Source organism: Homo sapiens, chromosome 10, assembly GCF_000001405.40.
Source record: "Homo sapiens chromosome 10, GRCh38.p14 Primary Assembly".
NCBI classification, from domain to species: domain Eukaryota; kingdom Metazoa; phylum Chordata; class Mammalia; order Primates; family Hominidae; genus Homo; species Homo sapiens.
Window position 1 is genome coordinate 69,831,897 of NC_000010.11, and position 25,295 is coordinate 69,857,191.

Below are 25,295 nucleotides of genomic sequence, written 5' to 3' on the forward strand. Positions count from 1 at the left end.
AAATGGGAATGACAGCACCTACCTTGTTGGACTGATGGGCTCAATGTGGGGCCCGACACACACTTGGCGGGAAATGATTGTTAGTTGCCACGATGATGGTGATGACGACATGAGTGGAAAAGGGCTTCAGGTGACATGGGGCTGTGAGGAGAGGTCATAGTCTTTGCCCAGTTGCATTCAGCCATGTGAGGTCCCGAAGGCAATGGCACGCTTGCCACTGAATGCAAGGAGGTAATGTGGTATGGCTGCTCAAAGCGTTGGCCTACTCCTACTTCCCTGATCTGCCCTGTGGAAGGCTAGGCCCTTCCAATGCTATGAAAAATGCTGGATGTTCTATTTATGAGACACTGTGCTAAGGCACTGCAAGAGATGGGTGAAAGGTATACCCACCCTTAAAGATGTGATGTGGGATTTGTCACAGGTTTAGGGGCCTTAGTTGGAATCCCAGCTCTCTGTCTAGCTCTCCAGCACAGCAAAAGCCACCTACCCTCTCTGAATTTTCACTTGCTCATCTCTTACATGTAAATAAGGATCTTACAGGGTTATTATGAAAGTTCTTGGTCAACCATGGAGATACAAATGGAGAATATTTGGCGGACCTCGTGGCACAATGGTAGTGCGTCTGACTCCAGATGGAGGATATTATGGGAGGGGAGTTGGACTGGTGCACAATCCAGTTATTTTGTAGAAGGTAGACCTTGTTGAGTGCTGTGGGATATAAATAAAGGGCTGTGGACAGGGCAGGGGAAGGGTGAATTACAAGTGCAGGTGACCATTGATTCCTTGGAGGAGACACTGGAACTTGCTGGTGATACTTAGTGTTGGAGGGCCTTGGAACCCCCGGTTTATGAAGAAAGACTCGCCCTCCTTCGCCCCACTCCATCCAGCCACCATGCGGAGCAGGAGCTTCTGGAGAGCAGGACTTGCCTTAAAGGCTGTGTTTGTGCCCCTTCTCCAGACAGAGTCGGGCATCCTCTCTCCACATCCTGAGAGGGAATGGGCTACATTTGTAGCAGCTGTAGTTGGGTTGGAAGTGATTCTGGATTTTGCAGGAAATCCATTGTCCAAGGAACTCTCCAGGGACAGTCAGTAGGAGAACGAGGGGCAACTGCAAGTGCCTCGAAGGTAGACCGCAGCACGCACTGCCTGGTCACCTCTCCCTGTCTGCCAGGCTGCCTGTCTCAGAGAGACCAGTGGAAGAGTCCTGAGGAAGAAAGACACCATCCTGTTCCAGCTCCCAGGGGCGTCATTCACTCCCACAATGATTCCATGTGTTTGTATCACACCCTCACCCATCAGAAGCCTTTCCCTTAGCACCTGCCCTGTGAGGGTGGAAACTGCAGCCAGAGGAGTTAAGTGAAGAAGGACTGCCCTTCTGGGCAGTTACAATAACTGGAAGTTACAGTAACTAGATTGAGCACCCCCACCTCTCCACTCCTCACCTCAGCCCAGGCCAGGAATCAGCAGCCAGACTTCTGGACTGCCTACGTGCTCTTTAGGGCTCCAGGATGAACATGAACTACATCAACAAGCAGCCTGGGTCCACCTGCGGGTAGAGGGCTGCTCCAGGCCCTGTGTTCAGTGCCGTGGGATGCAAGGTGATCAGGCAAAGTTCCTTGGTTCAGGGCTGGGCAAGTGCTAAACAGAAGCATAGGCATCTAGTTTGGGAAATGCAAGAAAAGGAGTGACTACTCCTGAAGGGAGGAATCAGAAATGGCTGCATGGAAGAAGTGGCATTTGAAGGAATCCCTGAATGGCAAGTAAGATTTCAGTAAATGAGAATGTGCATGAGGACATTTTAAAACAATGAAACAACATAATAAAGAATAGAGACCTGAACAACTGTGTTTTTTCCACACACACCCCCACACCCCACACCCCACTCTGGGAAATGAGGAATGATCTGGAGCGGTTGTAGTAAGCTCCTGCGGAGGGATGGAGTAGGAGGTACGGCTGGAAAGAAAAGTTGGGGGTTGGGGAGGCAGACCGTGGAGGGAGTTGGACACCACCCTGAAAGCCAGCTTCTATTTGGTGGGTAGCAGGAAACCACGGAAGGTTTCTCAGAGGGATGTGATGTATCCAGCTGTGTATAGCTCAGTGTAGAGGGTGAATTAGGGGCAGGAGAGAAGCTGGGAATGGGCAGCAATGATCTCTCTAAGGCAGCAGTCCCCAGTCTTTTTGGGACCAGTGGCCAGTTTTTCCATGTATGGGGATGGGGGGATGACTTCAGGATGAAATTGTTCCACCTCAGATCAGCAGACATTAGTTCAATTCTCACAAGGAACCTGCAACCTAGATCCCTCGCATGCGCAGTCTGCAATAGGGTTTGGGGTCCTGTGAGAATCTATTGCCACCGCTGACCTCCTGCTGTGAGGCCTGGTTCTTAACAGGTCACAGTCCAGTCCAGATCTATGGCCCAGTGCTTGGGGACCCCCGCTCTAAGAGAAGACACAGAGAAGCAGAGGAAGCAGGTGAGGGGAGTAACGAGAGGGAGGTTGCAGAGGTAACATTAGCAAGTTCTAGCTACCTACTAGGTGTGGGCCAAGGAGGGGTTGAGGCAATTATGAGCCTCTGAGCCCAGGTAACTAATAATAACCATGGCATATATTCAACAGATGACCTTGGGCCTTGTGCTTTAAATACAATATCACTTACATTCTGATCAAGCACCCTATGATGTAAGGCTATGGCTATCCACATTTCAAAAATGAAGAAACTGAGGCTCAGAGATGTTCAGGGTTTGCCTGAGGTCCACGGATAAGGGACAGAGGCAGGACTTGAACCCAGGACTTTCAATGCCAGCGCCTTTGCCCTCCGGACAAGGCAGAGCAGAAGGGGGGTAGGTTGGAGAGGAAGGGTCAAAGTTCTGTTTGGGACAAGCTGGAGGTTGGGAGGTGGGGGATGCAGGATGCCTCATGGAAATGCTGAGGGCCCTGGAACAGTTCGTCCAGAGGGAGAGGGGCTAGAAGCCCATTCTGAGCTTGTGGACTTAGAGAAGAAAGACCTTACCTGTAGCCATCGTCTGGGGACAATGCTCAGGGAAGTGGCCTTACCTGTAGCCACCTGCCAGCAACACTACTCACAGAAGAGAGAGAACAGGAGTGCATCTTGCTGGAGAGCTGGCTAGAAGCACTGAGGTGGGAGACTTTCTGCCCCAGGACATGCCCAGAGCCCAGGGCCCTGTGCCCCTTCACCCAGGACTCACAATCCTGCCCGCAGCACACATGGGTGCTGTGCAGCTTGTCCCAGGCTGCTGGGGGCAGATGAGCTCCCTGCCCTAGACCCAGTGGAGGGTCCCTTGATCTTGCCACCACCTGCTCTGCCCTGAAGGAGAAGGTTCTGCCACAGTGACGCTAAAGGAATGCCAGATGCTCCTTTGGAGGAAAGGAGCAGCAAGTGGGAAGAGCCCGCGACCTCTGCTTGGGCAGTTATAAGAGACTAGAAGGTGGGACATGCCAGACCCATGGATGCAGTCCCTGGCTCTTCCTCCTGGACCCACCCAGGCTGCCCACTCCCTCGATGACTACCCCCACTCTTGTCATAACCCAGCCAGCCTCTCCCCTGTTACTCCCTGGCAAGTTCCTGTTCAGCCACTAAGGCGACTTGGGTGGCCTCTGCTGGCAGTGGCACTCTTGTCCCCACACACCTGGCCCTCTTCACTGCACCCTCCCACCAGCTCTCCAGGTTACGACTCACACTGCCCTATTCTCCTGATGAGGACCCTGAAGCTCAGAATTCTTTGCTCGAGGATACAGGGTTAGGCAGTGGCAGGGTTGGGACTGGAAATAAGCTCTGAAACATCAGAAGGCAAATGCCCCCCAGGGACCCAAGTGCTACCCTGGAGCACAGTGGGAAACCGAGGACTCGGCAGTGGCCGTGATGCTTGTCCAGGGAGCATGGAGTCAGATAAGGCTGGAGGACATTAATTAGTAATGATAACAACAACATCTATTAAGGGCTTACTCTGCGCCTGGCACTGTGATAAGCACTTTATTGCATTGTCTCATTTGATCCTCATAATTACTTTATGTGGCAGGTACTATTATTATCTCCATTTCCATAGAAGACTGGGGCCCAAAGAAGTTCTGTAACGGGGCCAAGGCCACAGAGCTAGTGTGTGTTGAAGCCAGAATTTAAGTAGTCTGAGTCTGGGCAAACCAGAGCAGCATCAGAAGCTCCCCCTGCCAACCTCTAGCTATCTCTCTCTCTCACTCCCTCACTCCCCACCAAACAGTTTTTGAGCACTGGTTCTGTGCCATGCCCCATCCTCAGGAGACAGAGAAGAGCCCACAGTCCAGGAAGGGGAAACACACGGGTAACTCAGTGGCTGCTGCAGAGACCCAGGGCTCCGGTGGGGCTAGGCGGTGCCCAGTGTGGGCTACAGTCCCAGGGCCGCATCCTCCAGGATTCCAGCCCTGGGAGGCCGGCCCCAATCAAGGCGGGGCCAAGGCAGGGACACAGGTCTAGAACCACACTGTTGGTGGCTTGTGCAGCTGGCATTTGGCCCTGAGACATCAGATCTGGGACTCAGAAGGGACCCCAGAGCTCAGCTGACTCGGCTTCCTGGTGAGAGGCCCTCCTACCATGCAAAGGGGAGCTGGCTATGCACATATAAGCAGGGGAGGGAGGGGAGGGTCAGAGCTCCAGCTGCTCATTCTCTTTCCAGCTCACTTCACAAACTCACTTCCTCCCACCCCTCCAGCCTTTGCCATCTGTCTGTGTGGCAGGTACACCAGGCAGGGCACTGTTGGAATGTCTCCAGTAGGCAAGGTGTGTGGCTGACAAGAGCTGGAGATGGGCAAACCTGGGGCACACAGAGCTACATCCTTGGCAGGCTGGCTCCTCAGCCTCATGGAGACCCTGGGGAGCCTCCTGGAGCTAGAATGAGGACCAAGTATGGGCAGAGGCTCCCTCAGTGCCTGCCTTCCTCTTTAAACCCCAACTGGGGAGGAAATGCCTGCCACAGAAAGATGCCCAGCAGGCGGTGGGGGTATAAGTGGATGCCAGCTTCCCATGTAGTTATGTGAGCTGTCACGGGGTGACCTGGCATACCATGACAGGCCGGAGGGAGGGTGGGGCGGGTCCCAACCTCCCAGGGGCAGCAGGTACTGGGCAGCTGTGCCGTGTGTTCCCGAGACCTGCCTGTTTGTGGTCATGGAGGGGTCTCCATGCCAGGGCTCCGGCTCCAGGGTGCCCAGGGCCCAAGAGCTTTGACAGCCTGAATGTCCTCTTCATTTTCCTATAGGCTTAGAACCTGGATGTGAGTCCTTCTCAACAAAGAACTTACTTTCCCTCGGGGTGTTCGGGAATCTGGACAATGAGGCCCCATCAGCATCCCATGGGGGACCTTACCAATGATCCTGGCTGGTGTCGGTTCTGATTGGTGGGTCTCTGTACGGTTCTAGTTCCAAATGCTTGACCACATCAGCTCCAGCTGTATCATTCTTTGCTCATTGGCACTCAGAGGCACTGGTGTGTCAGCCAATGCCACAGACTCCTGACGCCTTCTGAGGCCAAGAGCTACAGCCAAGCTGGGCACCTGGTTCCGGATTCATCTGTCCATTAGACAGCCTGTCCTTCCTGACAGGTGACACCCCTGCTGTTCATTAAAAGACAGCAAAAGATGCTGCCACAGAAACTGATTGGACCCTGAAGCCACCACCCACCACACAACTATTTCTAGGGATGAAGTCAGATCCAGCCTCTTCTGCGCTTACCCTGGTACATTTTCCCACTGCCTCTTCTCCTCACTTCTGTGGAGGGTGGCAGAATCCCTGGGGAGCTGGAAGTGGGCCTTGACCCTCCTGCTTCATCATCCTCCATGTTGTCCCCCTTGTGGAGTGGCCCCTTAAGGCAGTGGGATCATGTTCCCGTGGAACGGCGATCCTGCCAAATAAATAAATAAACGCAGAGAAGAAGACAGATTTCATTATCCAAAGGAAGCTGAAGCTGGGGCCAATTTCTGATGTTCATTTTAGTGGCACTGTAGTGGGGCTGGATGTTCCTCAGAGCATTTGCCCACCTTAAAAGCCCCCTGTGATGTGACGAGCCACTTTCTCAATCTTGGGAAGCTCCAAGATCTCCCAGCCCTTCTCCAGTGCTGTGGCCATCCTGGTCTTGTCACCCAGTGAACACAGGAGGCCAGGGCCCTGTGGGTTGGTCACCCCTGGACATTCCACCCACAGTGCCTTGGGCAGGGCAAGGTCTGCGCCTGCTCCAAGGCATCCAGGCAGCCCCCTCCTCAAGGGGCCACAGGAGACAGCAGCAGCCACAGCCTTGTGCCTTCCCGGTCCCACTTGTGTCAAAGCTATACAGGCCTAGACAGGATCTGGTAGGAGCCTGGGCTTTAGAGACAGAGCCTAAGGCCGAGAGAAGGCAAGGGGTTCTTCTAGGGTCACCCAGCCAATGCTGGAAACACCTAGACTAACAAAGTGGCAGGATTATCTGCTGGCTGAGTTCTGGGATCCAACTGTGTTACAATGGGCAAGTGACTTGACATCTCTGAGCTGCAGCTTTCTTACCTCTAAGATAGGGATCATGACAACCTCTACCTCCATGCTGTCCTGAGATGAAGGAGATGTATGTAAAGCACGTGGTACAGTACCTGGCATGGGGAGGAGTTTAATCAGTGGTATTGAGCTGCTGGTACTCAGCTCTCCTGAACCGCAGGCCAGGACTCTCTTGACCACCCACATTGCCCTTCCTCCTGAGCCTCTGAAACACCACTACCTTGGGGACCGGCCCTTGCCAGAGGAATTTATTCAGACAGGGGCTCCTCTAAGCTGCTTTTTGACTGCAGCAAATGCTGCTACCTCCACTAAGCCCCTGCTGTATACAGAGCGCCAGGCATGCAGGTATATACAGGCCTTTGTACAAAGGGTTCAGATCCACCTTGGGAAATGGGGTGAGGCGTGGCTTCTGTGCACACTGTGTGGCCCTGAGTCTCTGGGCCTCAGCTCCCATTTTGTAAAATGAGCCTGAGACAGCCTCACTGAGTAGCTTGGCGAAGCCAGTGAGTTCCTGCGTGTGAAGCCCCATTGAAAGTGCGAAGTGGATTGCTATTTGCTACACACGTGCCAGTTGTTATTTTTGCATTTACACAATAATGGACAAGACCTGACCCTGTCTCTAGAAACCCATCCCCTGATTGGGCCTCTGAACAGTGTCCACAGGAAATATTTCACCAGTTATATCCTGCAATCTGGATGTGTCAGCTATGGTATTTGGAGAATGCGATGGTCTTGGAAGCCTCCAGGGGAGAGGTGACCCATTCATTCATTCATTCGTTCGTTCGTTCGTTCAACAAATACTTGTGAAGCGCTTGCCATGTGCAGTGGCACCGAGCTCTAGTGATATGAGGACCAACCTGACAGAGGTCTTGACCTCTTCCTGCTTCCAGTGTAATGAGAGAAATCAACAAAATAAGCACATAAGGAAATTAACAAGAAAATATCCACTGATTGTTATGAAGAAAATAAATTAAGACAATTTTAAAGGATTCCCCCCACGGCCCACTTTACTGAGGTATAATTGACAATTAAAAACTGTATATATTTAAGGCTGACCATGTGATCCAGGGGATATTTTCGATAGGGCATTGTGGGGGGCAGTGTTATCTGTGAGAAGGTGACATCTGAATGACAAGGGGAGCCCACCACGCAGAGCTAACAGATGATCCTGAGCATGAGAAGTGCTGTGCCTGAACTTGTCACAGCATAAAGCACTAGAAGAGTGTCCATGAGATAAATTGATTAAAGAATTAAATCAGAGGTTGGGGAATGAGCATGCTGGTTAGCAGCAAAAGCCGGTGCAAAATCCCTGAGGTCGGAATGAGCTTGGTGTGTCTGAAGAAGAGAAAGGTCAGAGTGTGGCCAGGTGAAATGAGTGACAGGGAGAGAGCAGAGAGAGAGCTCAGGGAGGGCGCGGGCCAGTCCTGTGGCGCCTCGTGTGACTCTGGCCTGTGGTATTTGTACATTTCACCCTCAATGAGCCAGGAAGCCACAGGAAGGTTTTAGGAGGGGGAGCCACCGGCTCTGGGCTACATTTTCCAGTCCTCTTGGCACCGGCAGAGAATGGATTACAAAGGCAGAGTGGAGAGGAGCCAATAGGTGTCCTGGACAATTGCGGTGTCCAGGTGAGAGGCAGTGGTGACAGAGGAAATGGGGAGAGTGTGCAGATTTTGGGTATGTGCTAGAGGTGACGCTAGCAGGCCTTGCTGATGGGCTGGCTGTCGGGTGAGAGATGGAGAGAAACCAGGCAGAGCTGAAGGCTTCTTGACTTGAGCTGTTGACTGGGCTGGGCTGTGAAGCTGCTGGAGCTGCAGAATGCTTAGCCCAGGTGCTGGGGGTCAGGGGCAGGTTTCCTGGAGAGATGGGGACAGGGCTGGAGGGACAGACAGCGGCATCGAAGGAGCCCGGTGACTCGGTGACTCGGGGTCCTTTAAGTTGCGTGTCCCCCAGCGTGGAGTCCACTTGCTAGAGTGAGCAGTTTGTTGAATTGCTGGTTCCCCTTCCACTTCACCAGCTTAGGAGCAAGAGGGGCTGGATGGAGGAGGCAGAGCCTGTGGCCTGTCTGCCTGGCTGAGGGGGGCCCTCTGGAGTCAGATGTCCTGAGTTCCCCTCCCCACCTCAGCAGCTTCACAGTGCATTTCCTTGCTCACTAAATCCTGAAATACTGGGATGATGGGGCCCCCTTTGAAACTTGAGTGAGGTAAGTTTAGGACAAATTAAAGGAAGTCCTGCTTCTCACAGCAACTTAGGACCTCAGGGGACTCATTACCCTGAGAGGTGGTCCAGGCTGGGAATGTCATGGGATTCCTGAGGGATCTGGGTAAAAGAACAAAATGAGGGGCCCTCAAAGGCCCCTGAGAGGAAACCTGGGATCTGTGTGACCTTTAAGTTGACGTCAGGGAGGAAAACTGGTCTCTTGAGGCTTCTGCTGGCAACAGAGTCGGGAACCATCCTAATCCAACCCAGCGTTCCCCTGCCCCCTGGCTCTCAGAACCCCGGGCGCCAGAGCTGGAAGGGGCCCCAGGCTCTGCCCCATCTAGTCCTTTTCTGTCACTCAGGAGGACACTCCTCTGTCACCCCTCCGCCTGAAACCCTGCAGTGGCGCCAGTGCCTTCACGACCATGTCCAGCACACCCCATCGGGCCCCATCCCTCCCCACTGCCCCCCTGCCCCACTTCCCTGGACTCCCTGCAGCACAGCCAGCCTGGGGCTTAGGAGCAGGGCTCTCATCACCAGGCCTCTGCCCCTGCTCTTCCCTCTGCCAGGAACCCCCTCATCTCCACCTTTGCCTGTTAACTCTCCCTTACCCTTCCGATTTGGCCTTAGTTGTAAACTCCTAGATAGCCATCCCTGATTCCCACCCCTGCCCCCACCTCCCCAATTTCAGGTCACCTGCCACTGCCGAAAGCTTCCTTAGAGCCAGCCCAGCCTCCAAGCATAAACCTATCCCACTGCATCATCAGGGACTAGTTTCACATCTGTCTCCCCTCTGGACAGTTAGCTCTGTGTCTTCCCAGCACCTGGCACGGAATAAATGCTCTTCAATAATCATTTAAGGTGTCAGGCTCAGAGAATGGAATTGCCATGCACAAAATCACAGCATCATTCATGTATCATTCAACACATATTACTGAGCACTCACTCCATGCCATGCCTTTGCTAGGTGCTGGTAACCCGAGGGTGAGCAAGACATGACTTACGGTTCAGTCAGGGAGGCAGCCTCCACCAATTGCCCCAGCAAATATAAAATTGCAATAGCGATCAGCTCCACCAAAAGGCAATGCAAGGTTTCATGAGAAACTAGAAAAAAAATCCTCAAGCGTCCTTGAGCAGAGAGATCTGGCAAGGGAGTAGGAATTGACCAGGTAAAGGGCAGGGAAAGTGTTCCAGGCAAGGGAACAGCAAGGGCAGAGACCCTGCAGTGGGAAGGGAGGATGAGGAACTGAGGCAGGAGCAGTGTGGCCTGGGCAGGGAGCTTCGGGACAGAGACTGGTATGAGATGAGATTCAGCTGGAATATGCAGGGCTTTATGGACCACGTTAAGGCTTTCATCTTTATCCTAAGAGCAGTGGGGAGCCACCAAAAAGTATTGAGCAGGACCATGACCTAACCAGACTGGTATTATGAAAGCTCAGACTAGCTGATATGGTTTCACTGTGTCCCCACTCAAATCTCATCTTGAATTGTAGCTCCCATAATTCCCACGTGTTGTGAGAGGGACCTGGTGGGAGATGATTGACTCATGGGGGTGGTTTCCCCCATACTGCTCTCGTGGTAATGAATAAGTCTCGTGAGATCTGAAGCTTTCATAAGGGGAAACCCCTTTCACTTGATTCTCATTTCTCTCTCGCCTGCCGCCACATTAAGACGTGCCTTTCACCTTCTGCCAGGGTTGTGGGGCCTCCCCAACCATTTAGAACCTTGTTAAACCTCTTTTTCTTTATAAATTATTCAGTCTCAGGTATGCCTTTATCAGAAGCGGTAAAAACGGACTATTACACTGGCTTCTGTACAGAGCAGGAAAAATAACCAAGTGCCCTGACACTAAGCCCTTATAGGATGTCCATGCTCTGTAGCCTCTGTAGCCCTGCTCCCTACCCCAGGTCACTACATGTCCAAGGACCTCCCCTACTCCAAAGCATTGGTCTGTCCATGCTCATTCCGGCACTAACATCATCCCCACCCAAACGCAGGGGCTGGGCTTCAGTGCTAGCTTTCCTGGGCATTTGGTACAACTGTGCTCCATGAGGCTGTAGTGTACACTACACTCTTGTCTCCAGTAGCCAGGACAGGCTGTGCATGCCCAGATGCTGGCCTCAGTGTGCTGTCAGGGGCCAGAGTCAGCACCAGCACCCAACAGATGAGGACTGTTTCACCCAGAGTTTGCTCCTTTGAGGAGCAGAGAGCCCAGCTCCCTGCCAGGCCTGCTGGGTTCCGCTGTGTGAGGGTTTCAGACGGGGTCCCGGCAGTGACCCAGCAGCAGCATTTATGCCAGAGCAGCAGCCTTTACATGCCTCCGGTCTACACTCGTGGAAGTTGGTGTCAGGACGCAGTAAGGTTAATCCTCCAGGTTGCCTGGGCTGCAGAAACACTGAGAGTAAACTGTTTATGTTCTCCGGCTGCTGAGCCTAAAGGCCTTCTGCAAAGAAATCATGGCTCCTAGGCTGTCAGTGCTGGAGGGTGGGGGTTATCTCTTCCAGCACCCACGTCACAGCAGGAGAGGGGGCCCAGAGAGGTGAGATTCTCACCATGTCGTGTTGCTCAAGTGGTCAGAAGATTCAGCCTCCACGTGGAGGCCATCGGCCCACATGATAGCTGGTGTGATGATGTTAAACTCTTCCCCCTCAACCCACGGCCTAGGAGCGAGAAGAGGAGGAGGAGTTAAAGGGTGAGAGTGCAGAATCTGGGTTTCAGATCCTGGCAACCATGGGTTCAAATCCTGCCTTTGTCACTTGTCAGCTGTGGCCTCTTGGGCAAATTTTTCAACCTCTAGGGTCTTTTTTCATCTACACTGCGGTGTCCATTATGACTGCCACTAACCACACATGACTGTATATTTAAATTAATTCGAATTAAATAAAATTTAAAATGCAATTCATCAGTTTCCCCAGCCATATTTCAAGTGTTCCTGTGGCTAGTGGCTACTGTATTGGACAGCACACGCACAGAACATTTCCATTATTGCAAAATGTTTTCTATCCAACAGCTTTGATCTATAAAATGAGGATAATGAGAAGGCTTGTTCTATGGATCGTGGTGAGGATTAAATGAGATAATGTATATAAAGCAAGCTGGTATAGCACCCAACATATATTAGGTGCTCAGCTAATGTTTGCCATGACGGTGATGGTGGTCATGGGGTTGGTGAAGTCCATTTGCTTCTGTGTACATTTTCAGTGTCCTGCTGTGTCCACGACCAGAGGTGCTACAGCCCAATAAAAAGGTGCTAGAGTTAGGCAGTTGTGCACCTGGATTTATTTATCAATACGAAGGTGTTGAACATCTGCTGTGGGCCAGGCGCTGTTATCATATGCTGTGGGCAGGTGCCGTGGTAGGTTTGTGATATGTCACAAAGTCAAACAAGACATAGTCTTTATCGTCCAGGAGAGATGCCCACCAGTAAAGCATAGAAAATACCCAAGAGAGTCAGAAGAAAAAGAAAAGGAATAGCAAGCCCTGAGGGCTTCCCGGAAGAGGCGGCATTTGCTCTAGGTCTTGAAGGAGGTGTAGGATTTGAGTCGGAGAGGGCAGGAGGACATTCCAAACAAAGGGAACAGCATGGGCTGTCAGGAGGGGCCTGAAAAGTTATCTGTGCTTGAATGATGGCCAGCTCAGTGTGGCTGTCCAGGGAGGATGGGCCATAGGCACAGTGCTCAGCAAATGCCAGACACTCCCTAAGTATTTGTGGGATCAGCAAGTGGAATGAAGCTCATAACTGTGATTCTGGGCAAGTTATCTGACCTGCCTATGCCTCCTGCCTGCTCACACTTCACCAGCTTCTCACCCCAGCCCCCAGTAAGCCTGTGGAGATACAGAGAGATGAGACGAGAACATGCTTCCATCGCAAACATAAGGTGGTCTAACTTTGTGCCTCAGTTTCCCACCTGTAAAATAGGGTAATAATATTAGCCACTTCCTTGGGCCATTGTAAGGATTAAAAGAGTTAATACAGTGGCATGTTTAGAACAGTAGCAAGCACAAAGTGACCCTAGAGAAGGGTTAACTAGCAATGTTGGCATAGCGACAAGAGATATCCTTGCTTTTGTCATGGAGAAGGGAAGTGTTGGCTGAAGTGTTTGAGTAGGACTTAAAAGTTCCTAAAATCATGTTGGCCCGTCATACCTCACCTGCCTTAAAGGATTTTTGAGACCGTAAAGTACATATGCCAGGTGAATGCAAACTGGAGAGGGTGGTGCCCCAGACTGTCAATTATAGCAGCAATGGGGAAGCAGATGGGATTGAGCTTTGCTCCTGAGCTGATTTACTGTCTGCAGTGGTTTTGCTCTGGAGAGCCTGGGCTCTGTTTTGGGAAATCCAGGAGGTGACTTTTCCTAAGGATCTTGAGAGATGAGTAGGAGCTTGCTGGAAAGGCCAGCAAGAGAACCATACTATGTTAAGGTCCTGTACTTAACTAGTTATAGGATTCTCTATCCTATAGAGACAAACAAAACCCATCCAGACCTGCCTTGCTTGACATCTGACACCCTCAAGATGCCTCCAAGACTTCACTGTGCTTTCTTGCTGAGCCTCATCCTCTTTTCTTTTCTCTTTTTCTTTTCTTTTCTTTTTCTTTTTTTTTTTTTCTGAGACAGAGTCTTACTCTGTCACCCAGGCTGGAGTGCAGTGGCGTGATCTCCACTCACTGCAACCTCCGCCTCCCAGGTTCAAGTGATTCTCCTGCCTCAGCCTCCCAAGTAACTGGGATTACAGGCACCCACCACCACGCCTGGCTAATTTTTGTATTTTTAGTAGAGACAGGGATTCACCATGTTGGCCAGGCTGGTCTTGAACTCTTGACCTCAGGTGATCCACCCACCTCAGCCTGCCAAAGTGCTGGGATTACAGGTGTGAGCCACCGCACCAGCCCTCTTCCTCTTTTCTTACACCCTCTAAATACCCCCACCCCTGCAGCTACACCAAAGTAGGCATCCCCAACCCACTAGCCTGTGTCACTCCTTCCCCTCCCTCAGCCTGCAGCCCCTCCCCAATGGGAACCAGCTTCAGGTGCCTCCCTGGGAAACATTTCTTGCCTCCCACAAGGTCCCTGCATCCCTCTTAGCAGTAACCCTGCTCCCTGATTTGGAAAAAGACATTTCACCCTTTTTCCAAATCAATTCTGACCTCACCTGCAGCAGAATCACCTAGTCAGCTAAAAATGCAGATGCCCAGGTCAGACCTACAACATCAGAATCTCCAATCCTGTGGTCTGGAAATCTGCATTTAGCAATCCAGGTAATCCTTTTGCTCAATGAGTTCAGAAAGTCACTGAACTGCTAAATTTCACTGTAGCGTATCTTTTTGTTTGCATCTTTTTCCCTCCACTGGACAAGGGTTTCCTGGAGGCAGGGACAGGGATAGTGCCTTGCTGTCTGTTTCCCCAAGGCCTGGCGCAAGGCCAGTGCCCAGGCAGTCCTGAATGAACCATTCCTGGACATGACACGGTTCCCGTGCCCTCCCTCCTTCCAGCCCATGCCGGAAATAAACTTTTATGAAGGCTTTTGTGAGTAGTCTGTGATCTCTCTGGGAGGCCATGCATGTCTCTCTTAACCAAGAGAGGAACCTAGAAGAAGAGCAGCCCAGCCCTCGGTAACAAGGGGCTGGGGGTGGTCCCAAGACAGGGTCCTGGATGAAGAAGGGTCTGGTGGCACTGGAGGGGCTGGGGGAGAGTGTCCTGGTTCCTAATCAACAGGAAGGGCCTCTGCCTCCAGGATCACTTTTCAGCCCAGCTGCTTGGACATAACCCGAGCTGGGGTTGGGGTTGGGGGGAGGGGCGGTGACAGACAGGCTGACGGGGAGGCCAGCACTGCGACAGACGGCCAGCCCAGCACACCTGCCCGCCCAACTCTTGTACACCCCCACTGCCCCGGGAAGGTGCATCCAGGGAGAAGGCTCAGCTGGTGAGCTCAGAACACCCTTCTGCTTTCTTCCCCCACCCTGCCCTCCCCTTCTTCTGCTCTTTCCAAGCTTAGGGACATTCAATCCTTCCTTTGATGGACAGCCAAGAAAAGACTTCTTCCACATCCTAAATTTGTTAGCACCAGCTAATCGTCTTAACCTTCCTCCCTCCAGTGCTCCCAATAGGCGCCTCCTTAAACACACAGGGTGCTTTTTTGATCCTCAGAGGGGAGCACCGGGAGGGACCAAATCCCCACAGGGGCAGAGGAAGTTTCCCTGGAGGTCCCTCCTCTGCCGTGGCTGCTGGTGAGCCGGGGTGTGCAGACACGTGGGGCAGGAGCAGTGACTGCAGCTGCAGCCAAGCCTGAGGCTTGGCAGCTTAGAACCCGCTGATTCAAGTGGGGGTGCTTCCCAGCGGGAGCCACGGCCCTCATTAGGGGCTCACCCCAGGGTGCTGCTAGAAAACTGAAGTTAGCCAAATCCCAGGTCGTGCCCAGCAGAGGGACACTCTTTCTTGACCCTCGCCTGCTTCTTCATCTTCTCTATTGTGTCTCTCTTTAGCCTCTTCCTTCTCTTCCTCCTCATCATAGCTTCCATCTACTTTACAGGGTGCCGGACCGCATGCTTAGGGCCTGACCCCAGCTCCTTCAGAACCCTAACAGCTAGAAATTCTTATGCTCATTTTACTGATGAGAAAATTGAGGCTCAGAGAAGTGAAATGATGTGTCTGTGTATATAAGGTAATCCCATATGAGTCAGGGCTGGGGTGTGGACCACTGTCCAAACTGTTGCTGTTGACCGCCATACCATTCTGTCTCCAAAACACACATTTCTGAACTGCTCACACAGGTACACAAATTAGATAAAAGTGACCTACTGCAATCTATTAAATGAGGTCACCCTGTAAACATCTCTTGCAGGACCAGGCACATAGTAGGCCCTCAGCACGAGTACCCCTTCCTTCCTCCCATCCCCTCATCTCTCTCCCTACTCTGTCTCTCTCCTCCTGCTCTTTCTCCTTGCCTCCAGGCTTATGACACAGGTGAGAAGAGCCAGGACAGAAGAGAATGTGGCTATGGCCTACAGACCTTGTCCTGGCCCTAAGCCTCCCAATAAATAACAGGGTCTGTATATAAGCCTCCGGCTCTGCAGCATCTCAGCTTGGGAGGAATGGCGTTTGCTGGCGGAGGGATTAGGAGCCCTGGGAGGAAGGGACAAGGGCCTCCCTCCAAAGCAGCAGGGGAAGGCTCTGATTCACTCTCTTTCTCCTTTCCATCTGTGGCCCCACAGAAACAGCAAAGAAACCTAAAGAAAACCTAACAACTTTGCCGTCAAGGTCCTCAGTGGATGTGGGGCTGGTCTGGGAGGGAGGAGTTCCCCTTCCTGCAAAGGGCTGGACCCTGACCCGAAGGCATAAGAGACCCTTCTGAGACCTAGCATGCTTGGAACACAGGCAGGAAACTGCCCTTCTTGCCCCCTGGCCCACCTCCTTCCTCTTCCCAGCTTGTCTAGGTCCCTAGAATGGGGGTTGTCTGGCCAGATGGAGTCTCCAGTCATTTGCTCAAGACCTCTGAGTCACGGAGGTGAAGAAGCCACTGGGACCAGCTGAGACTGAGGGGCTCTGGGGGAGGGGTCAGGACAATTGCAGAGGCTGCCAGGAAGATGGATCAGATGGCCGCATCTGATCCAAGTGTCACAAAGCAGTCCAACTGAGGTTGCTGGCGAAGTGTGAGCAAGCTACCGGCCTGAGCTGAATTAAAATCATCCTATACCTCCTGGATGGCTTAGTAATAAGAAGCAAAGCTGCCACTTCCCAAGGACTTATTAAGTGCAAGACCCTTACATATGTGTATATGTCTCCAACAACCTTGCAAACTGGTACTATTAGTTCCACTTTATAAAGAGACTGAGGCTCAGAGAAATTAAAAGAAACTTGCCTGGGGCTCTGGAGCTATTAAGAGTTGCTGGGATCTGAACCTAGGTCTGTTTGGCTCCAAAGCTCATCCCCGAGGATACCCCTGAGAAAACCTTCGATACAGAAGATCACTCACCGTGTAAGAAAAACACTACTGAGTGAGAGCAAGAACAGCCAACAGGTGTGGACCCACGCACCGTCCTCTCACCTGTCGCCTGACTCACCTGCCTTCCCCACGCCACACTTCTGCTGTGTCTTTCTGGAGGCAAAGGGACAAGGATGCTTCTTGGATCAGAAAGAGATGCCCTCCCCTTATGAAAACAATGGAAGCATTCCCCACAGAAGAGCCAGCTGGTGCCAAGGGGGTCACTTAAGGACAAGTGAGGGCCTAAGAGTCCCCTCCACAACTCACCTTCTCTTTGTGGCTCAGGTGCTACCTAGCATGGACATTTGCATAGCCAACGGCTGCAGCCTACAGCCTGCCTTTGCTTCTGTGGTGCTGTCCCCATGGGATTTCCTGCCGCTGCCTCTGTACTCAGACACCCAGGGTGCCTTGACACCCCCCTGCACCACCTGACCCATGTGGGCAATTCATCTCCACCTCCCCTCTGGCTCAGACAGGCTGGAATTCTCTTAACGATTTTACCAAACCCAAAGAGAAGTGTTTAAACCATTTTTTTAAATGTCTTAGAATTTTCAAAGGTTCTGATATCACAGTGCTTACAGAGAACGGGTTTCTGACCCTAAACTGGTAGAAGGTCACTTCCAGATCTCAAATCCATTATTCTGTCCCATCAGAGACAGAAGTGGCTGCCCTCCCCTTCAATCCCTTTCCTGCTTCCTCCAGGAGGGGCCTGGGGGCTGTCATAGAGGCCCAGCTGCCTAGCCTGGTGCAGGGGATGGGGAGCGGGGGTGGGGGGCGCTTCCGCAGCAGTGCCCCCTGATCACTTCCCACTGCCCTATCATGGAGGCCCATGGTCCGCAGTCACCAACCGGCTCAGCAGCCCCTCTGCTCTGTCTCTGGGGAGAGTGGTGGTATGATGCCCACACAATGGCACGTTTTTATTTTTATTTATTTTTAAGAACAAGAGAGGATATTGTTTCCTTCTTTTTCACATCTCCTTTTTATCTTAGCCCTGGCCTCAATTCTGTGGGACTCCCTGACCCTCCTAGCATGTGGGAACAACTGTGTGTAGCCTTCTGTTGTGTTTGGGGGCTGAAGACAAGGATGGCGGCTCCCACTGTCTTCCCAGCCTGCCTCGACCTGTGCCCAGCGCAGACCTCTGCTGTGATTCCCTTAGTGACTCCTTTACAGGTGTTTTTTCTCATCTGCAGAAGTCAAAATGTCCCCAGCCACTTTCCAGGCCTCCCCACCCGGTGTGGCCTGCCCAGGTGATTCCAGCTTCCTTGAACCAAGCACCTTATGGGATGGGGCTGAAACTGGGCCCCACGGCCAGCTCCCGAGTAAGGTCAGAGGTCAGGAGAGTAGGACGAGTTGGTCATCCTGGGCTCCTCTTAATGATTTATTAGCCACTGTTCCCATTAGGAGCTGTTAGCACATCAAAGCGGGATTTGCAGAGCCTGAACACATAGTGACGGTGACAGACATTAGCTGGTGGCTGCCCTGGAGCCATAAAACTCCCACTGGGTGAGCTGGAGGTGGAGGGAGGCGCTGATCACTTTGGTTCTCAACTACAGCAAAGGCAGACGAGATCCAAATGTCCATGGATGAGATCTAAATGTCCACATTTGTAAAATGAATTTGTGCATTAACTCATTAAATCACTGAGTTTGGAACTCTAGGTAAGTTTAGACTGTGCGACACAGTACGATACAGGGCAAAAGGCAGATTCTGGACTCCACAAGATCTGGGTTCAAATCCCAGCTCTGGCATCAAGAAGCTTCAGGAAGTTGGGTTCTTTCAAAGCCTCGGCCCTGTCTCTAGTGGGATGAGGATAACAATCCTCTTAAGAGACATCAGGAGAGGACCTGGAGCCACACGTTAAACTGCCTGGCATGGGGTGACACTCGAGAAAGAGGGTTTCTTACCCCATGGCACATGTCTAATGCAGGGGCCTTCCAGCGGCCTCCTGCGTCTGGAGGAAGCCACCTACTGAGAGGTCTCTGCCAGCCTGCTCAGGGTACTGCTTTTCTTAGTGCTGTCTTTTACCAATGGGCAAAGGGCGGGCTGTTGTCCTTGTGATGCTGAGGGGGGCTGAGGCAGATCAGGTTCCCTGGGAAGCTGACTGTCAGCCAGCAGACTCTACATACACACCATTGAAAGGGGAGGGGAAGAGAGAGAAGGGAAAGGCAACAGACCGGGCAAAGGAAGATGATGAGCTGTGCCAACTCTCAGTGATGGCCTCAGCCCACCCAGGTAGTTCTGGAACGGGGATGGCCCCTCAGAGTTGCCCCAAGGGGGCCAGGCCATGAAGGGGGTTCTTGGACAAGGTGGCTCTCTTTAGCCAAGGCACTCCTGCAGAGGACTGACATCTGAGAGCTATCTGCAGGCAGCACCCTAGCATCTGAAGGGACAAGTCCTTCATTCCCTAAAGGGGAATCTGGATGGCACAGCACAGCAGGCACTACAGGGGCCTTTCTACAGGGGCCAGCACATGGGCCAGGGGTCCTGAGAGCAGGGCTCCATCTCCGCCTTCACTAAGGGGAACCATGCACCCCTCAGGAGAATCGAGGTCCTGGGAGATTCTGTGGCATTCCTGCGTATGCTTCACAACTGTAGATTCGAGAAAACAGGGTGTTGGGCTCAATGAATACATCTGTTCAGCTTTGGCTCTGATTTCTGAAGATTTCTCAGGTTCAGAGAAGTGAGAGAATCAGGGAAATCAGGAAGGGAGCTCCCCTTCCACCCTGAGCCAAAACAATTTTGCCAAAGTCTGGACACCCCAAAGGTTTCCCAGTGCCCTGGGGGAAAATGCCAAACTCCTCCCTGCCCTGGCCTTCAAGATCCCTTGAGTTCTGGCCCCTGCCTTCCTTTCCTGCTTCATTTCATGTCCATTTATTTTCTTCTCCTGAAACTCCAGGGCAGAGCTGCTTAATAGAACTTCCTGCCAGGATGAAATATTTTCTCCCTGCGCTGTCTAATACAGTAGCCACAGCTACATGTGGCTATTCAACACTTAAAATGTGGCTAGTGAGGCTGAGGAACTGAACTGAATTTTTTATTTTATTTCCATTTTATTGTGGTTTTTTGTTTTGTTTGTTTTGTTTTGTTTTTTTGAGATGGAGTCTCACTCTGTTGTCCAGGCTGGAGTGCAGCAGTGCGATCTCAGCTCACGGCAACCTCCACCTCCCTGATTCAAGTGATTCTCCTGTCTCAGCCTCCCAAGTAGGTGAGATTGCAGGCTTGCACCACCATCCCCAGCTAGTTTTTGTATTTTTAGTAGAGGTGGGGTTTTGCCACGTTGGCCAGGCTGGTCTAGAACTTCTGACCTCAGGTGATCCACCCGCCTCAGCCTCCCAAAGTGCTGGGATTACAGGTGTGAGCCACCGCTCCTGGCCTATTTCAATTTTAGTTTAATGGCCACAGGTGGCTGACAGCTGCTGTAATAGACATCACAGCTCCAACCACAGAGGATTTTTTTCTGTTTCCCACCCCAGGGCCTTTGCACTTGCTGTGCTGGTGTGCAGTGACCATCCCTTGGACTCTCTCGTGCCGCCTCTTCATTATCTAGGTTTCGACTCCAACACCACCTCCTCAGAAAGGCCTTCCTCAGTCATCCAAGCTAAAGCATTTTCCCAAATTCCAGCCCCGTCTACTATATTTGCATATTGTAACTTCTCATAGCAGTCATCAGTGTGTAAATTTTTCCCATTTATTTATTTCTGTTTGTTGTCTATCACCTGCGGCTAGAGATAATAATAATAATAAGCCAATACTTGTATGGTGCTTATTATGTGTCAGGTACTGATTTATCATTTCACATATGTTATCTCATCTAATTCCTTCAACTCTCCTGTGAGAAAAGTGCTGCTTTGTCCCCATTTTGCAGAGAAGGACACTAAAGCTCAGAGGTGGACTTGCCCAAGCTCGACTGCTAGAAGATGTCTTTTCTACCTCTATAGTGCCAGCACCAACATAGAGCAGTGCCAGATATATCGAGCAATGGCTCAGTACGTGGCCCTTGACTGCCTGTCTGGCTGAGACTCAGCAGGGTGGGGTGACTGGGCTGGTGTGGACCCAGGAAGTCCTCTGACGAGCCTTGCAGCCCCACGGAACCCCTGGTTGGGATGGTGGGCTGGGGGCAAGTACAAGGGTGGCGCCAAGAGTGGCCTGCAGGTCACTTGTCCCATTTTGGGAGACCCCAGTGGGCTGGGAGGGGAGAGGAATGGACCTCGCTGGGCAAAACTGGCAAACCCTTCTCCTGGGCAGTGAATGATGCTAGTGGCCAAGGTGGACTCGGCCCATTGCTGGGCCTGGGGCTGCGGCTTTCCCAGTGCCTTGACAGAAAGGGACCAGAGCTATGGAGACCACCCAGACTTTTTGTCTGCAGAGAGCTCTGACATCCGCCTGGCCTCCCCAGCAAAGCCCTTGCCTGGGGCTGTCCAGCTGGGGCGGGGGAGCGGGGGGAGGTATGGGGAGGGGGCTCTGTGCAGCCCAGCAGTGGGGAGATATCTTCCTAGCGATCAGCATCTGATAACACAGCCTGGTCTCCCCAGGGTGCCCCTGCCCCCTCTAAAAAGCATCTTCTCTTAATTAAAAAGTCAGAGCCTTCTGTCTGGAAGGGACATTCCATGAGGAGGGGAAGCCACCAGAGACGCCTCACCCTCTTCTTGGTCCTGCTGTTTCCATTTCCTATGGATACTGCACCCACCCCCCGTCCCATCCCCCACCTGGCACCCCAGGCTTCTAGGTGTGAGAGAGCTTCGCACAAGGAGCCTGAAACACAACTGCCATTTCCAATGAGGCCTCTTATCTGCTGAGTGACCTCGACTCAGCTTCTTAACCTTCCAGCCTCCGATTCCTCATTCCTGTGAGGGAACACATGTGCCCCTCTACGATTGCCATAGGATCTAGGGAAGCACGATGCTCTCAAAACTTTCAAGACTTTATACATATGAGGTCAACGCAAGTATAAAGAACCATAACGATGTTCACACAAAGGTTTCACACAGGCTCCCTCCCTTAGGCTCAGAAAACAATGTATAAAAGGAAAACTGCTAGATGTACAAAGATATTCACTGCAGCATAGAATATAAAAAACACAGAAACTTCGTGATCTAGTAACCAACTCAAAGATAAATCACGTTATATGATCTTTAAACGCAGCCATGTTAAAGATGTCGTTTCCAAGGCTGCCCTGATGCAGGAATGTGTCTGCCTTGTCATGGTAAGTGAAGGAAGCAGTGGACCATATTCCGTGCACACCGATTTCTGCTCTGTGAACGTAGGTATGCGTGTGGACGAGGATCAGAGAGGGGAAGAGAAAATGGAAACAGTTGAGAGTGGGCATGGGGGATTATGGATGATGGCTTTTCTTTCACAAAATGTCCTTTAATGTTCTTACAGAGCTGTTTGAACAATAAATATATGTCAGAAAAACAAACTAAAAAAAATTTTAAAGCAAAGCCAAATGTAAAATCCAAAGTGTTGCCACTCTTCTCAGTTCAGATGCATCCAGTTCCTGGACTCCTCGGCCTCCCGAGAACCCCACATCCCTGGCACGTACACTGGAGGCCATACAGCTCACTGTGCAGCCCGGGCCTCAATCTTCAGCCTACATGGTATGGTGTGTGAGATGTCAGAACTTGGCTTCATCCTTTCCTTTTCCCTTTGCCCCTTCTCGTGCCACATGCTTAAGGCCCTTTCTATTCAAAAGACAGTGGTTTCAGCCGGGTGCTGTGGCTCACACTTGTAATCCCAGCACTCTGGGAGATCAAGGCTGGTAGATCGCTGGAGTTCAGGAGTTCAAGACCAGCCTAGGCAACACGGCGAAACCCCATCTCTACAAAAAATTTTAAAACAATAAATTAGCCAGGCATGGTGGTGTGCGCCAGCAGTCCCAGCTACTCGGGAGGCTGAGGTGGTAGGGTCGCTTGAGCCTGGGAGGTTGTGGCTGCAGGGAACCAAGATCACACGACTGCCCTCCAGTCTTTTGAGACCCTGTCTCAAAAAAAAAAAGTGGTTCCTGTCATTTCTGCTTGTCACCAGACTCTGGTTAGAGGTTCTACATCCTCAGTTATGAAAATTCTTTCACTTGCAGTTGTACTGAGACCTGCCAAGGATGCCAAGTACGTTTCCTCACAGGGACGAGCTGTGATTGATTGGTTGTGGTTGCCAAGAAGTACAAGAAACAGTGCTGAAATAGATCAGTTATGTCTGCCATGGGTCCTAGATAGAGGAATGGTATATGTCCTGTGGTATTTGCAATTCCAGAATAGACAGGTACTCAGCGCAGGGCTTGGACATCTGGGCTTTCATCTCAACCCTGCCAGTGCTTCCCTGGAGAACCTTGGGTACTGTACAGCTTTGTCATGTGTGTAAGGAAATCGGAGGCTCCCCGTTCTCCAGGCTGTGTGCTGGTGTGGAAAGAGGATGGACTTTGCAGTCTCATAGACCCAGGCAAGAATCCTAGCTCCACCGTTTACTTGTGATTTGACCTTGGGCAATCCGTGTAACCTATGGAGCCTGGGTGTTTACACCTGTAAGTTAGAACTCAGATAGGCTGAGTTATAAAGATTAGAAATAGTAAATAGACACAGTGCCCAGTCTACTGCTGGCACACAGTAAGTGTTAGGGTAGCTGTTTTCCTGGCCACCTGTGACATTCAGAGGGGTTGGTGGTGCCGTTCAGCCAGATGGCATGGAAGCAGGCCATGGGGCTGCCAGGCTGCCACCCATGAGACTGTGTGTTTCTTTATTTCTTCCTGGCCCACAGTTACACATGCACGCCTTCACCATGCCCTCCTGGACTAATGACAGAGCTGCTTGAGACAGGATTCATTGAGAGACAGGGACAAAAATGATGTTTCACTTGATTGTGCTATTGTAAGTTAAAACACTCCATATTATAACGAACTAATAACATATTATAATAACACTCCATATTATAATGAACTAATAACTAATAATTAGTAATTAGCTAATTACTAATTGCTGTATATGTTGTTAATTGTGTGCAATTTAAAGTAAGATTTAAGAAAAATAGATATCCAGGGGTGATTAAGTACCTTACTAATTGTTAATTATTCCCTGTCCCTGCTTCACGGAGTCCTGCTTTACTTCCGGGCCTGAGGAAAGCAGCCTCCTAACTCACCTGGCATCCTGGGGCCGGGGACTTATGTGGGGCTTGTCTTCAGCTCTGGGCTCCATGCCCAGTAGAAGGGGGGAGGGATGCAAGAGGGAGGGATGCAAGCACACTTGTCATTGTTTAGTGTACCCAAACAGTTCCACTCTTGGTCAAACTAACTCTCACGTACAAGTTCAATGTCCAAACACTGTTATGACATTGCTCCTTCACAGATCTGTAGTCAGATGATAGCCAGTGGGCCCACCCATCCATTCATTTAATTACTCATTCATGCATATTCAGCAAGGATTGACTGAGCCCACACTCTGGGCCAGAAGTTCTGGGCTGTGGAATTGGAGCAGTTCAGGCCTGGAAGGTGCCCAGAGACTGTGTATTGCGAATTAGCAGCTTGAGGACCAAATGTAGCTCTTTCACAGGTTTTGTTTGGCCTGCAGAGTGGTTTTTAAGTGTTCTTAAATTAGTAGCAGCATTTAGAAATGAGAAGATTTTGCAGAAAATATCTGATTCTCAGCTTTTCTTGAATAGTTTCAAGATCTGCCAATAGTAGGTCTGCAACCTCAACTGGCAATACTTGGTTGCAGCTGAGGGGTATCCAGTCCATTTTAGGCACACAGGCAAGCCCTTAGCACTTTGCCACAGTCTCCACCATGCCCTATCACATGACACCTGGCCTACTTCATTTATTTATGTGACCTGCCTGGCTCCTTGTAGGCATTGGAGTTTGTGACACCTAATCTCCCTCAACTCTTCTTAGAGTAGTGATTAAAGAATTAAGGACTGTGCCCATCATAAATCTTACAACCTAACAAAAGACAAGGTAGAAAAACATGGACATGGAACATGGAACTGAGATCCACACATAGAAATGAGAATAATTCACTGAATATTTTGATGTCGTGGGGTTGTGGTAAATCAAAGCCAGCTGCGTGAAGGAGAGGATGTGAAGCCGTGATGTGCGTACTGCAACCTCTGCTGGAGAACTGTCGATGCCTTTTGGATGTGGAGAAGGGAGCAAGGCTTGCACAACAGATGATTTCCTGGGAAGGGCCCAAGGTGAGGGGCTGGGGGTGGAGCAGGAAGTCCCTCCCCTTGAGAAGATATCTCTAGGTCCTGTGGGAGGATCTCACTGTTTCTGGGAGACTCAGTCAAGGGTGACAAGTTCAAGTGTGGAGACTCCAGATTGTTATCAAAATAGAGCTGAGGGGTCAGAGCCAGCAAAGTGCAACGGGCAAGGCTCATCCCTGATTGATTTCCACCTCGCCCACACAAGGGCTGACTTGATAGAGAACTTTTCCACCTTCCCTGGGCCCACTGTCCCTATCTGTGTGTGGCAGCCCAGCCCCTCTGACCCGTGCTGGAGGCCTGGCCAGGAAACTGTTCAGCCTGAGAACAGTGCCTGCCCTTGGCCTGAATCTGTAAAATTGGGACTCCAGTCTCTACCAGCAAGACCTACCCCCAAGGTTTCCTCACTCAGGACTTACGATTCTGA

General features: G+C 51.3%; 1 protein-coding gene across 43 annotated transcripts in view, besides 1 other annotated feature; it reads left to right on the forward strand.

The window, feature by feature from the left end:
• COL13A1 (collagen type XIII alpha 1 chain) overlaps positions 1-25,295 on the forward strand; it is a 157,239-nt gene that overhangs the window by 29,991 nt on the left and 101,953 nt on the right. The gene's annotated exons all lie outside the window — the stretch shown is intronic.
• Positions 10,457-10,958: an enhancer, noted in NCBI's record as "H3K4me1 hESC enhancer chr10:71602109-71602610 (GRCh37/hg19 assembly coordinates)". NCBI's record gives its function as "activates a minimal SCP1, AML or CMV promoter by ChIP-STARR-seq in primed H9 embryonic stem cells {active_cell/tissue: H9 hESC(primed)}" and the evidence as "EXISTENCE:reporter gene assay evidence [ECO:0000049][PMID:30033119]".